The sequence below is a fragment of the Homo sapiens genome, chromosome 7 (genome assembly GCF_000001405.40).
Source record: "Homo sapiens chromosome 7, GRCh38.p14 Primary Assembly".
NCBI lineage: Eukaryota > Metazoa > Chordata > Mammalia > Primates > Hominidae > Homo > Homo sapiens.
In genome coordinates, this window is record NC_000007.14 from 44,503,264 (window position 1) to 44,518,546 (window position 15,283).

A 15,283-nucleotide genomic window follows, 5' to 3' on the forward strand; every position below is an offset into this window, starting at 1 on the left:
CTGAAGGACATCTTGGTTACTTCCAAGTTTTGACAATTATGAATAAGGCTGCCATGAACACCCATGTGTTGGTTTTTGTGTAGACATAAGTTTTCAACTCCATTGGGTACATACCAAGAAATGTGATTGCTGGATCATATGGTAAGATATATTTAGTTTTAGAAGAAACTGAAGAACTGTCTTCCAAAGTGGCTGTACCATTTTGCATTCCTATCAGTAATGAAGGAGAGTTGCTGCTTCTCCACATCCCTACCAGCATTTGATGTTGTCAGTGTTCCAGATTTTGGACATTCTAATAGATGTGTAGCAGTATCACATTGTTGTTTTAATTATCATTTCCCTGATGATATATGACATGTAGCATCTTTTCATATGCTTGTTTGCCATCTGTACATCTTCTTTGGTAAGGCTAAGTTTTTAATTGAGTTATTTGTTTTCTTATTATTGTATTGGAGAGTCCATTTAGATTTTAAATAAAAGTTCTTTATCGGATAGATCTTTTTCTTTTTTATATTCTGAAGCACTTCACAAATGTGCATGTCATCCTTGTGCACAGGCCATGGTAATCTTCTCTGTACCATTGTAATTTTAGTATGTGTGCTGCTGAAGCCAGCACAGATGTGTCTTTCGCTAATATCTTCTCCCAGGCAGTGGCTTGTCTTCTCATCCTTTTTAAATTTTATTTATTTATATATTTTTTGAGACAGAGTCTCGCTCTGTTGCCCAAGCTGGAGTACAGTGGCACAATTTCAGCTCACTGCAACCTCTGCCTCCTGGGTTCAAGCGATTCTTGTGCATCAGCCTGTCAAGTAGCTGGGATTACAGGTGTGCACCACTGCGCCCAGCTAATTTTTCTATTTTTAGTAGAGACAGGTTTTCACCATGTTAGCCAGGCTGGTCTCAAACTCCTGGCCTCAAGTGATCCACCCGCCTTGGCCTTCCAAAGTGCTAGGATTAAAGGCATAAGCCACCGCACTTGGCCATTGTCTTCTTCTTCTTGACATTGTCTTTTGCAGAGCAGAAGTTTTAAATTTTAATGAAATAACACTCATCATTCTATTACTGCTAAAAAAAATTTATTAATTACAGTTTATCAGTTATTTATTTCATGGATTATGTCTTTGGTGTTGTATCAAAAGGTCGCTACACCCAAGGTCATCTAGGTTTTACCCTATGTTGTCTTTTAGGAGTTTTATAGTTTTGAATTTTACATTGAGGTCTATGATCCATTTTCAGTTAGTTTTTGTGAAGGGTGCAAAGTCTGTGTCTAAATTTATGTTTTTGCACATAGATGTCCAGTTGTATCTGTATCATTTGTTGGAAAGACTGCCCTTTGGCTGGGTATGGTGGCTCACACCTGTAATCCCAGCACTTTGGGAAGCCAAGGCGGGTGGATCACCTGAGGTCAGGACTTTGAGACCAGCCTAGCCAACATGGTGAAACCCCATCTCTACTAAAAATGCAAAAATTAGCCAGGCATGTTTGCAGGCCTTTAGTCCCAGCTATGCAGGACACTGAGGCATGAGAATCACTTGAACCCAGTGATTCTCATGGTAAAGGTATAGGTCCCATTGAACCAAGATCATACCAGTGCACTCCAGCCTGGGTGACAGAGAGAGACTCTGTCTCAAAAAAAAAAAAAAAAAAAAAAAGTCTACCTTTGCTTCACTATATTTATTTGGGTCTATTTCTAGACTCTATATTCTGTTACAGTGATTTATTTATCTGTTCTTTACCAGTTCTTTCACTGTCTTCATTACTATAACTTTATAGTAAGTCTAGAAGTCAGATAGTGTTAGTCCTCTGACTTTGTTTTCCTTCAATATTGTGTTGGGTATTCTGGGTCTTTTGACTCACCATGTAAACTTAGTTAGCAGTGAGATAACTACTCCCGATGCCTGAGACTCCAGGTCTCACTCTCAGCTGATGTCTTTGGTCTTAGGTAAATTTAGTTACCCGGAATGATGACTTACTTCTTCCTTACTGCATAGGCAACCTTGGTTATCTGAGATGATGATTGTCTTCCTCAAGGGGAGTATGACCTTTGAACCCCATTTATAACTCACTTAAAAATGGGTATGGACAGCCTGGACAACATACTGAAACCCCATCTCCACTAAAAATACAAAAACATCAGCTGGGTGTGGTGTCACACGCCTGTAGTCCCACCAGTTACTCAGGAGGCTGAGGTGGGAGGATAGCTTAACCCTGGGAGGCAGAGGTTGCAGTGAGCCGAGATCGCACCACTGCATTCCAGCCTGGGAGGGAGGGAGGGAGAGAGAGAGAGAGAAAGAAAGAAAAGAAAAAGAAAAAAAGAGAGAGAGGGGGAGGGAGGGAGGGAGGGAAGGAAAGAAGGAAGGAAGGAAGGAAGGAAGGAAGGAAGGGAGGAAGGAAGGAAGGGGAGAGGAAAAGGATGTTAGGTTGATAGGTTTTGACTGTGTCCCCACCCAAATCTCATCTTGACTTGCAGTTTGCATAATCCCCATGTGTTGTGGGAGGGACCAGGTGGAGATCGTTGAATCATGAGAGCGGTTTCCCCCATCCTGTTCTTGTGGTAGTGATTTAGTTCTCACGAGATCTGCTGGTTTTATAAGGGGCTTCCCCTTTCACTGGGCACTGATTCTTCTCTCCACTGGTGCCATATGAAGAAGGGCATGTTTGCTTCCCCCTCTGCCATGATTGTAAGTTTCCTGAGGCCTCCCCAGCCATGCTGAACTATAAGTCAATTAAAACTCTTTCCTTTATAAATTACCCAGTCTGGGGTATGTCTTTATTAGCAGCATGAAAACAGACTAATACAATGTGTATAGAAAGGTTTCAAAGAAGCAAAACCTTAGTAAGAATATTTGTGTGATGGGGGGAAATTTTTGTATATTTCGTATTTTATATGCTTGTAACATTTAAAGTATTTGGTCTATTAGTGTAAGAATTGTATAATTCCAATTTAAAATGGTATTTCATATAAGCTTAAGATTGTAAATTGAAATGTTGCTAAATCTATGTGCAGTGTTACAACATCTATAAAAACTTTATATTAATGATATTCCATAAATTTAATTTATTAGGTTTAAAAGAGTTAAGTATATGGGAAGATTTTGTTTCTTATGCAGAGTATTTAGGAAGAAAATGGAGACTATTACCTTTATAAATGCAGTTAAAATATGTTCAATTAATTAAATTTGTAAAGAGCCTAAATATTTTCCAAAGGTTACCTTTAAAGTAGTGATTAAATAGAAAAACAGAGGCTTGTACTATTGATTGAAATTAAGGCTGTTGAGGCAGCACTAATTTGATCAAGGTTTATTTGAAGCCAAATGTGAGAATCCGCTTAGGAAACACACCAACAATGTTAGGAATGTTCCAGTCTGTTACAAGGTAGAAGGCTTTTATAGGAAAGTTTAGGAGAAGGGAGGGGACTCCTCATACAAGAGTTTTTTCCTCTTTCATTTGAGGGTACAATACAGAGGTTACAATTGTTGGATACAGATTGCAACATACAAGCTAAAATGTCTACATGCAAGACAATCAATAAAACTTTATGATTCAGAAATAAATCAGTGTTCTTCCCAGTGTCAGAGGGTTACACATTAATCAGTACATCAACAATTTGAGGAACTCATGGTAAGATGCTTTCCTTAGGGACAAGATGTCACCATGGATCACAAGGCCTTTCCAAGGTAAGTATATTAGTCTGTTTTCACACTGCTGATAAAGACATAGCCTAGACTGGGCAATTTACAAGAGAAAGAGGTTTAATTGGAGTTACAGTTCCATGTGGCTGGGGAAGCCTCACAATCATGGTGGAAGGCAAGGAAGAGCAAGTCACATCCTACATGGATGGCAGCAGGCAAAGAGAGAGAGCTTGTGCAAGGGAACTCCTCTTTTTAAAACCATCAGATCTCTTGAGACTTATTCACTATCACGAGAACAGCACAGGAAAGACTTGCCCCCATGATTTAATTACCTCCCACCAGGTCCCTCCCACAACGGGTGGGAATTCAAGATGAGATTTGGGTGGCGACACAGACAAACCATATAAGTAGGTTAATTTGGAAGCCTGTTTATTTTTAAAGTAAATCGTCAAATGTGACCGATAGTTCATCAGTATACTGAACTTAAAACTGAAGGAAGAACAAGGTTTTTTTTTAAATTTCTGACTTCAGTACATCAGGTATCGGGGCGGAGGGGGGTGTTGCTATCTTTGAGGTACCTCTGGCTGCGTCTCTTCTCATCACAGTTAGATATCTGGAACTCAGGAACTGAACTGGGTTTTAGGCAGAAGTGAAGTGGAAACACTTTTTAAGCACCTACTATGTCACAAGTACTAGATGCTTTCACATATAATATCTCATTTCATCCTTTAAAAAAAACGTGGGGAGTCAGGGCAAATTTTCCTAATTTTTTTTTTTTTTTTTGAGACAGGGTCTCACTCTGTGACCCAGGCTGGAGTGCAGTGGCATGATCACAGCTCTCTGCAGCCTCCACTTCCTGGGATCAAATTATCCTCCCACCTCACCCTCCCAAGTAGCTGGGACCACAGGTGAGTGCCACCAACCCAGCTAATTTTTTTTTTAATGCAGAGATTGTGGTCTCTGTGTGTTTCCCAGACCAGTTTCAAACTCCTGGGCTCAAGTAATCTTCCCACCTTGGCCTCCCAAAGTTCTGGGATTGCTGGAGTGAGCCACTGTGCTCAGCCACTAATTTTTTTTTTCACAGATGGGGTATTGCTATGTTGCCCAGGCTGACCTGCGATTCTTAGGCTCAAGTGATCCTCCCATCTCAGCCTCTCAAGTAGCTGGGACAACAATTAGCATCACTGTGCCCAGCTAAACTATCCCAGTTTTTACAGGTAAAGAAACCAAACCCATGCCAGGTGTGGTGGCTCACACCTGTAATCCTAGCAATTTGGGAGGCTGAGGCAGGCATATCACCTCGGGTCAGGAGTTCAAGACCAGCCTGGTCAACATGGCAAAACCCTATCTGTATACAAAAATTAGCCAGGCATGGTGGCAGGCGCCTGTAGTTGCAGCTACTCGGGAGGCTGAGGCAGGAGAATCACTCAAACCCGGGAGGCAGAGGTTGCAGTGAGCTAAGATCACACCAGTGCACTCCAGCCTGGCCAACAGAGTGAGACTCTGTCTCAAAAAAAAAAAAAAGCAAAAAAGAAACTAAAGCCCAGATAAGTCAAATATGTTACCCAAAGAGGCCCAGCAAAGGAGTGACAAAACCAGCTTGGAAACTCTGCCTCACTGTGAAGAGTGAGACTATCTGCCCTCCCATTTCCTCTGAATTGCCATCTCTAGATGGCTCTGAACCTTTCCTCCACCCTCCATCTCCAGCATCCAGTCCCTCTGCTCATGGAGAAAGGCACATCAGAGCTCAGTTCTGACATCTTAGCCCCATACTGGGCCTATGTAGTTCCTATTCTGTGTGGAATGCCCTCCTCTCCTCCCTCAGATCCAATGTGGAAACGCTCCCCACACCACCTGGATTCTGACACCCCACATGTGCTGCCTGGCCCCACCTTACCCCATGGCCTGTAGGCCAAATTGTGAGGGAAGAGAAGAGGAAGAACTCTCACTGTGCTTTTACTCAGCCTTGCTCTGGTGACTGACAAAATTGAGGAACTTGTATTGGCCATTTGCTTATTTGAGTAGCCAGCCTAGCTTTTCTTTTGGTTGTCTGTCTTTTTCTTGCTGAGTTGTAGGAGATTTTTTATGCATTCTAAGCACAGGCCCTTTCTCAGATATGTGTGTATTTCAGATATGTGCAAATATCTTTTCCTCTCTATGGTTTGAATTTTATCTTTCCTAAGGATGTCTTTTGAAGAACAGAAGTTTTTTTTTATTCCAATACAGTTCAATTTATCAATCTTTTTCTCTATAAGTAAGGCTTTTGTTTCCTAAGAAAAGTTTTTCCTATTTCAGTCTTGGGGATACTCTTTTATGTTACCTTTTAGAACTCTATCATTTTATCTTTCACATTTAGATTGACAATCTATCAGGAACTGATTTTTGTGTATCTTGGGGGAGAGGGTCATGATTCATTTCTTTCTGTGTGGATACCCAACTAGGTCAGCATCCTACATTGAAAAACCTCCTTTACCCAATGCTCTGCATGCCTCCTCCATCATAAATCATGTGTCCTTGTGGGTATCATCTGTTTCTGGACTTTCTATTCTTTCCATTTTTCTATTTGTTCTTCCTTGTGCCAAAATCTCACTATCTTTATTTCTATATATTTATATTATCTTGATTTCTAGTAGTGTAAGTTCTCTGACTTTGTTTTTCTTCAAGATTGCTTTCGTGAATTTTCATCTTTTGTGGTTCTATATGAATTTTTGAATCAGCTTATCAGTTTCCACAAAAAATTTTCTGGGGTTATTATTGAAATTACAGTGAAACTAGTAATTAATTTGAAGAGAATTGACATCTCTGTAGTATAGAGCCCTCAATTCATGGTATATTCCTCCATTTCTTTTGACAGTTAATTTCTCTCAATATTATACAAATTAAAATACAAAGTTATTATTTTTCATAGTTTTCTTGACCACCTTTTGTTAGAGTAATTCCAATAGTTTATATATAGATTCTTTTGGATCTTTAAAAAAAATTTTTTTTTGTAGAGGTGGGGTCTTGCTATGTCTTGAACTCCTGGCCTCAAGTGATCCTCCTGCCTTGGCCTCAGAAATTGCTGGGGTTACAGGCATGAGCCACTGCACCCAGACTGAATCTTTTTTATACATATTTATGTTATCTGTGAATGATGTCAATTTTATTTATTTCTAATCCTTATAAACTTAGTTTCTTTTTCTTGCCTTATTACAATGGCTAAGACCTCCAGTGCAATGTTGGGTAAAAGTGGGCAACTTTGTCTCATTCCCAATCTCAGGGGAAAGGGTTTCAATGTTTGACTATTAAGTATAAAATTTGTTCAACCGTATGTTATTTTATATGTGTGTGTGTGTCTGTGTGTGTGTGTGTGTGTGTGTGTGTGTGTGTATAATAACATTATACAGTTGAACAAATACTACAGATAGGACTGGCATGGTGGCTCATACCTGTAATTCCAGGTACTTGGGAGGCTGAGGTAGGAGGATCCCTTGAGGCCAAGTATTCAAGACCAGCCTGGGCAACAAAGTGAGAACCCCATCTCTTAAACAGACAAAAATAAATACTAGAGATAAAAAGGGATATTTTTATAGTCATTTCAAACTATAAAAGTCTCAATTTATCAAGAAGGTTAAAACACCCTAAACTTGTATGCATCATACACACACACAGACACATACACACACACACACGGCTAAGATTTATTTTAGCTAGAATGTCTTGTTTCTAATGGGAAGGTTAGCCACATAACCCAGACCTCCCCCCTGCACTCCTTCCTCTCTTTGTATATTCTTTTTTTTTTTTTTTTTTGTTGAGACAGAAGCTCACTCTTTCACTCAGGCTGGAGTACAGTGGTGCCATCATAGCTCACTGCAGCCTCAAACTCGAGCTGAAACAATCCTCCCACCTCAGCCTTCCAAATAGCTAGCCTGGCTAACTTTTAAACTTTTTGTAGAGACAGTATCTCGCTATGTTGCCTAGGCTGGTCTTGAACTCCTGGCCTCAAGCAATTCTCCTGCCTCAGCCTCCCAAAGTGCTGGGATTACAGGCATGAGCCACCGTACCTGGACTCTCTTTGTATATTCTTTTTTTTTTTAAACATAAACTCAATATTTTATTGTCTTCATAATAAAACAAAAGATGACACTTAGAACTGGATCACTTGGCCCTTGCTCTTCTTACCTCCTCCCAGTTCAAAATGCTTGTATCTCTTAATAGCCAGCATTCTCTTAGATCTGCAGTTGGGCTTCATGCACTCAAAACTTAGCACAATCTTCTTTGTAGTTTTAGCCTTTTTCTGGAAAATTGGCTTAGTCTCCCCACCATAGCCCCTCTGCTTCCTGTCATAACATGGCTTTCCCTAGGCATACAGGGAAATGTGTCCTGTGTCACTCTGTGGGGCTGGTGCTTCCCACACTTCTTACAGAAAGTCCAGTGGGTTTTAGGAGTGTTCACCATGTTTGCAGGAGCACTATTGGCACTCTTTGTGTTTTCTTGATTTTATTTGCTGTTAAATATGTTGCAACTATTTTTCTGAGCTCATATGTGTCTTTCAACTTTCTTTAATTTTTTGTGTGTTTTCAGATGTTTTCCATTATTATATGGTCATACCTTAGTGTTTACCTTTATGGCTTCTGGACTTTGTGCTTAGGAAACTTTTCCCCCTCCAAGATTATAACATACTCTTCTGTGTTTCCTTCCGATAGTTGTATAGTTTCATTTTTGTGTTTAGTGCTTTAATCTGTCTGTACTTTTATTTTGTGTATTGTGTGAAGTATAGATATAACTTTATTTTGATCCAAATAATTTGCTCACTACTCTCACACCGTTTACTGAAGGATCTACCCTTTCCTCTGATTTGAAATGTCTGCTGTCAAAAGCTATTTTGTTCCTCAAATCTATCTGTTTATTCTGCACCTGTGGAGTTTTTAACAGGGTGAATTGTGCGATTTCTCCTCAGCCTCTATTCCCTCGTAGCTGTCCCTTCACCAAACCTCCTGTCCATCATGGTCAGCCAGCAACCCTCCCAAAGGTGGGCTAATGATGCTGGCACATGGGGCTCTTATGAGGACCCAAAAGTAGATAGTAGGCTCCAGAAACGCCAGCTCCTTTCCACCCCTTTTTGCTTGTCTTCCCTTTACATGCTGACAGTCCCTCTGAGCCTCAAAGCAACAGCAGCCCCTCAGCCAAACAAGGGCTGGACCCAGCATGGGGCAGAAAGACTCGAGGGGATCTGGAATGTTCCTTGACATTTCCACCCACTGCCCTGGCCTGGGGCCCTCCTGGGAGCTGGTTGTTTGTACGGTGGGTTCTTCCCTCCTTGAATGCACCGTGGTTCTCCTGTAGCTCCTCCAGGTGTTGCCTACTTCACAGTCTCTTCCAGAAAAGGAGGGGCTGCACATCCTACTCCTGACTGACTCTCAGGCTCTGTGCCCTCCCAGTTTGAAGAGAAATTACTCCCACTCCTCAAAGGCCCTTGTAAGGCATGAGCACACAATGGCCTGGCTACTTTCTTGAAAAGAGGGAGGAGAAATAGAACAAAACACAGACTAGTATCTCCACAAATCACTCTCCCACACATGTATTATTTGTGTCATTCACAAAAATTATCTTAAACCGAGAGGAGGAAGCCAGGGTAGGACATGTGACATAAAACACCATTTCTGCCAACAAATGTTTATTAAACACCTATGTGCACAGCACAGAGCCAGGATCTTCATCTCCACTGCAGTTCATGCTTCTGGAGAGCTGTCCAAAAGCTCGGGTTGGGCTGGTTTGAGGCCTGGGATCCAGGCCCGAGGTGAAGATGGGAGGACCAGCCCAGCCCCAAGAGCTCCCAGCCTTCAGACTCCTGGGTGGCCTTGACTGGCAGCAACAGCCTTAATAAGTATTGGAGCTGGAGACCAAACCCAACACCATTTTCCAGGAGGGGCTAATCCATGACCAAGGTGCTTATGAGAGCATCCTTCCTGGGCCTTATGAGAGCATCCTTCCTGGGCCCTTCTCTTGCCAGAAAAGGCCGTGGATGGCAGACCTGCAGGTGCGCCCTGGAGGGAGTGGCTGCCGACCGGCCTCCCACAGCGTTGGCTCTTGGCCTGAGCCTTTGCCTCTCTCTGGCCTCCTGTGATATCACACCCAGGGTAGTGGTCATTGTCTGTGTTCTCAGGGACACTGCTACGTGTTAAAGACTTACTGACACAGAATTAAGACTTTCGAGAGAGGAACTGAGAAGGGAAAAGTTGGATGAGAAGTGGGCTCCTAGGAAAGTGAGTGAGTGTGGGACAAACATGGAGTGTGTCTGTTCCTGCCAACTTCCAGACCCAGGCCCAGGAGGAGGCACTGCCCAAGGCCTAGGTGACTTGGAAACTGGGGACCCACTATGGGAGCAGAGGAGCCATCAGTGGTGCTGCCTGGATACCTCAAGAGCAGGCCATCCTCCAGTGACAGGCAGTCTCATGGGAATGGCCTCCCCTAGGATTTGAGGAGGGCGTGTGTCAAGGGGCAGTCACAAGGAAGATCCCCATAACCCTTTGGTTCAGGGCCATAGAGCCTAGACAGGGCCTCTGGCTGTATCAGAACTGCCGCCCATTGTTGGGCAAGAAGTTGCTGATGGCACCAGCACCTTTGATAGAACCTTCAAAGCTGTGGTTGACATAGATGTTGTCAGCTGTGGAGACTCGGGAGGGGTGATTTGGGCAAGAGGCCACCATGACTGCTGCCACCGCCTCCTCAGCCCGCTTCTGCTCCAGTGCCAGAGCCGGGTTAACGTCAGGCCCTGCGGAGAGACAGAGAACCACAGTCAGAGAGGTGGGCAGGGGACACAGGTGAGAAGCTATTCCTGGTTCTGTACAACAAACCCAGGGCAGGAAGGGTCCCAGGGGGGATCTGTGCCATGTGCCTTCCAGGGTCACTATGTTCACAGCCCAAGCTTCAGGGATGTCCTGGTCCCTCCATCCCCCAAGCATTTTGGGAACCTCCAAGGAATAGCCACCACCTGCAGCTCCAAGGCCCTGGATATCCTTTGTCCAAGCACACCCCACGACTGCTCCTCCTTGCCCCTCTCTTATGTCTCATCCACCACCCCCAGCGCACACACTCTACTCCTTCCAAGAGGGTCAGGGAGTCCCCACAAGAGACATGGTTAGGAACCACAGAGCTGTGTGGGCTCCAACCCCTACTACCTTTGACCAAGTCTGTAACCTGGGGCAGGTGTCTCAGTTCCCTCATCTGTAAAATGGGAAGGATAATAATACCTGCCTCGGGGGTAGTAAGAGAATTACAGACACATATGTTGATGCACAAACACACCCCTCTATAAATGTCCTCTAATAATATTATTACCATCTGGTGGGAGGTAAAATTGAACTCCTCCCAGCTTGCCCACCCTGAGAGCCAGAAACACCTTCATCCTGGGAGGCTCAATTTGAGCTTCCATGTGCCTCAGCCTCCCAAAGTGCTAGGATTACAAACATGAGCCACCACTCCTGGCCAGCATTTCAAAATATTAATGAGACCGGGTGCGGTGGCCCACGCCTGTAATCCCTGCACTTTGGGAGGCCAAGGCAGATGGATCACCTGAGGCCACAGGAGTTCGAGACCAGCCTGACCAACATGGTGAAACCTGTCTCCAATAAAAATACAAAAATTAGCCAGGTATGGTGGCATACACCGATATCCCAGCTACTCGAGAGGCTGAGACAGGAGAATCGCTTGAACCCAGGAGGCAGAGGTTGCAGTGAGCTGAGATTGCGCCACTGCACTCCAGCCTGGGCAACAGAGAGAGACTCTGTCTAAAAATAATAAAAATAAAAATAATTAAAATAATTAAAAACAAATTAATGATAGGGCTGGGCACAGTGGCTCACGCCTGTAATCCCAGCACTTTGGGAGGCCTTGGCGGTTGGATCACCTGAGGTCAGGAGTTCGAGACCAGCCTGCCCAACATGGTGAAACCCCGTCTCTACTAAAAATAAAAAATAAATAAATAAATTGGCCAGGCGTGGTGGTGCGCACCTGTAATCCCAGCTACTTGGGAGGCTAAAGCAGGAGAATGGCTTGAACTTGGGAGGCAGAGGTTGCAGGGAGCTGAGATCATACCACTGCACTCCAGCCTGGGCAACAGAGCGAGACTCCATCTCAAAAAATAAAAATAAAATAATGTAAAGTAAAATAAAATAAATAACAAATTTAAAGTAAAATAAAAGCCAAGCGCAGTGGCTCACACCTGTAATCCTAGCACTGTGGAAGGCCATGGTGGATCACTTGAGCTCAGGAGTTTGAGACCAGCCTGGGCAACATAGGGAGACCCCATCTCTACAAAAAATAAAAAATTAGCTGGGCATGGTGGTGTGCACCTGTGGTCCCAGCTACTCGGGAGGCTGAGGTGGGAGGATCACTTGAGCCTGGGAAGTCAAGGTGGCAGTGAGCTGTGATCATGCTACTGCACTCCAGCCTGGGTGTCAGAGCAAGACCCTGTCTCCAAAAAATATTAATAATAATAATAGAATGGAACCAGCAATATCAGAATGCTTCACATGTATAAAGGAAGTATTAATATTATTTAGTGAAGCATTTGTTTTAGGCAGGCATGTCTATGTGTGCCCGTGCATGTCACCTCTCTGTGTAAAATATATTTCTTGCTGAAGGGCATGCTTAAAAGTCCAACAGCAGTGCAGTGAAGATCCACAGTGTACAGGGCCACAGAAACGTTGTTTGAGACATACATAGCTGACAAAAAAAGATGTTCACAGCACATTAAATGAATAATAGTAGCTTCCAAGACAGAATTGCCACATGGTCATAGTCCTGGCTTCTGACATCTGCCCATGGCTCGTTTGCACTTCCTGAGCTTTTGTGGTGAGCATGCACTGTTACTGTTGTCGTCAGCATAATCATGACAGTCTGGTAGGAACAGGCCTGGGCACTCACCCACGTAGCTGAGGATGACGGGCAGGAAGACCAAGCCATGCAGCAGGCCCAGCAGAGTGATCAGGAGGTTGAGGCGGAAGAAGAAGATCTGAATGAGCTGGGCCTTGGCGAGGCCCAGGACAAGGATGCCAGGCAGGTTGGTCATGGCCACACCTGCAAACACCTGGGGGGTTCAGAGCCAGGTGTCAGGCAGGGCACAGGGCATCAGGCAGGGCACAGGGCATCAGGCAGGGCACAGGGTGTCGAGTGGGGCACAGGGTGGCCCACTCCTCTCCACTCACCGCACTTCCCATAGAGATGGTGGCCTCTTTGGCCCTCTCCAGCCAGGTGGGCTTGGTGCTGATGGCAAAGGAGCGGGTAATGTGGGACACAAACTCCACAGACATGCCCACCGCCTATGGGCAGAGAGGGGGCATAAGCCAAGAAAGGCAGAGGTGGGGAAGGAACTAGGGAGATGAGGCCTCCACCAGGACCAGCGTGGGGCAGGCATCTAGATTCTAGACAGAACTGGGAGTATTTGGCCGGGTGCAGTGGCTCATGCCTATAATCCCAACACTTTGGGAGGCCGAGGTGAGAGGATCACTTGAGCCCAGGAGTTTGAGACCAGCCTGGGCAACAAAGTGAGACCCTGTCTCTACAACAAAAATTAAAATATTAGCTGGACGCAGTGGCACGTGCCTGTAGTCCTGGCTACTTTGGAGGCTGAGGTAGGAGGATCGCTTGAGCCCAAGGGTTCGAGGCTACAGTGAGCTGTGATCATGTCACTGCCCTCAAGCCTGAGCAACAGAGCAAGACCCTGCCTCTAAAAAAAGAAACAAAAAAGAACTAGGAGTATTCTATGAGGCTGGATCCCCAACCACCCCTCCAGAGGCCCCCTGGTGCCTGTGTCTGCTGGGTTACCGAGACCAGGTTGATGAGGGACACAGCATTGTAACTGATGCCCCACAGGGCCATGAAGCCGACAGTGTCCACGAGGATCATGACAATGGAGAGCAGGTTGAGGAGGCCGGAGCGCAGGTCCAGGCCCAGCAGGAGGCAGGAGACAGCGAAGGTGGGCACAAGGCAGAGGCTGAGCATGAAGAGCCCCTCAGGGAGGATGGTCAGGTACTGCTCATAAAACACATTGGTGATCCTGCCAGAGCACAGAGCATGGTCACAGGCTCAGGCCTCTGGGGCCCTCATGGTGGGTGGGACACCCCACTTCAGAAGGAGAATGCTGAGGGTCAGGCAGGCTTATATTGGGGTACAAACCAGCCTAAGAAATAGGCCCAAGGCTGCAGCCAGAGCCTCCTGACCTAAAACTGGTCCTCATCTCATGCAACTCCTTGCAAGCCCTCCACCCTAACCTCCAGTCTCCAGCAACCATACCCCACCTCCCTCCAGCCCAGCCACTCAGGTCCTCACGTGTAGGGGAAGACCTCAAAAGCCGGGTCTGTTCCAGGCACTTTCCGCAGGTCAGCAGTGATGTTGGCTGCCAGCTCTCGAGCTGCCCGCAGAGCTTCTGTGTAATCCTGTGAGTTTTTCAGGGGCTTGTGATAGGCCATGAACCTGGAGGCTGGACAGCCATGGCACACAGAAGATGGAAGGGCAAAGGTCAGAGCCCTTTCCAGGACAACTTCAGAACACCGCAGACGCAGTGGCACAGGCATGTGATCAAGCGGGGTTCAGGGCTCTGCCACCACCATTTGAAATTCTTAGTAAATTTTGTGCAAGAGGCCCATATTTTTGTTTTGCACCAGCCCTGCAAACTCCATAGCTGGCCCCACTGCTGTGGGAGACCCAGGCCTGACCTTTGATGAGTGAAGCCTACAGAGATCTCCCTAGTGAACCGAGATTCTTCTCTGTATGGTTTCAAGATATGCATTGGATTTTTAAAATTAACTTAATTGGTTTTTAATTTGCATATTCCTATAGGAAAGGACTAGAAAGGAAGACAGAAAAATGAGAACGGTTGGATTATTAGAGCTGTGGCTTAGGGCTCCTGCCAGATAAAGGTTATTTCTTAATGACTTTTAAGAAATTAAGGTTATTGGCCGGGTGTGGTGGCTCATGCCTGTAATCCCAGCACTTTGGAAGGCTAAGGCAGGTCGATCACCTGAGGTCAGGAGTTCAAGACCAGCCTGCCCAACATGGTGAAACCCTGTCTCTACTAAAAATGCAAAAATTAGCCAGGCGTGGTGGCACACCCCTGTAATCCCAGCTACTTGGGGGGCTGAGGCAGGAGAATTCTTGAACTCAGGAGGCAGAGGCTGCAGTGAGCTGAGATCATGCTACTGCACTCCAGCTGGGCAACAGAGCAAGATCCCATCTCAAAAAAAAAAAAGAAGAAATTAAGGTTATTAAGACCTTTATACAATAAAGGGTTTTTTGTTCTTGTTTTTGTTTTCGAGACAGAGTCTCACTGTCACCGCAGCTGGAGTGCAGTGGTGCGATCTTGGCTCACTGCAACTTCTGCTTCCCGGGTTCAAGTGATTGTCCTGCCTCAGCCTCCCAAGTAGCTGGGATTACAGGTGCATGCCACCATGCCTGGCTAATTTTTGTATTTTTAGTAGAGACAGGGTTTCACCATGTTGGCCAGGCTGGTCTCAAACTCCTGACCTCAAGTGATTCGCCGGCCTCGGTCTCCCAAACTGCTGGGATTACAGGTGTGAGCCACCGCACCTGGCCCAAAAAGGTTGTTTCTTGGCGACACTCTGCCTCTATTAATAATACAAAAATTAGCTGAGCATAGTGGCATGTGCCTG

General features: G+C 45.2%; 1 protein-coding gene and 2 pseudogenes across 4 annotated transcripts in view; all 3 read right to left on the bottom strand.

Moving 5' to 3' along the window:
* On the bottom strand, positions 510–616 carry RNU6-1097P (RNA, U6 small nuclear 1097, pseudogene; annotated as a pseudogene).
* On the bottom strand, positions 7,709–8,090 carry RPL36AP27 (ribosomal protein L36a pseudogene 27; annotated as a pseudogene).
* The window catches only part of NPC1L1 (NPC1 like intracellular cholesterol transporter 1), a 28,796-nt gene continuing 22,784 nt past the window's right edge, over positions 9,272–15,283 (bottom strand). For all 4 annotated transcript variants that reach the window (XM_011515326.4, NM_001101648.2, NM_013389.3 and 1 more), the window contains 5 exons: positions 13,944–14,094; positions 13,440–13,671; positions 12,821–12,934; positions 12,540–12,702; positions 9,272–10,386 (listed from right to left, as the gene is read on the bottom strand). In XM_011515326.4, coding sequence (XP_011513628.1) covers positions 10,184–10,386; positions 12,540–12,702; positions 12,821–12,934; positions 13,440–13,671; positions 13,944–14,094 — 863 coding nt within the window. In that variant the 3' untranslated portion in view covers positions 9,272–10,183. The remainder of the gene's footprint in view (positions 10,387–12,539; positions 12,703–12,820; positions 12,935–13,439; positions 13,672–13,943; positions 14,095–15,283) is intronic.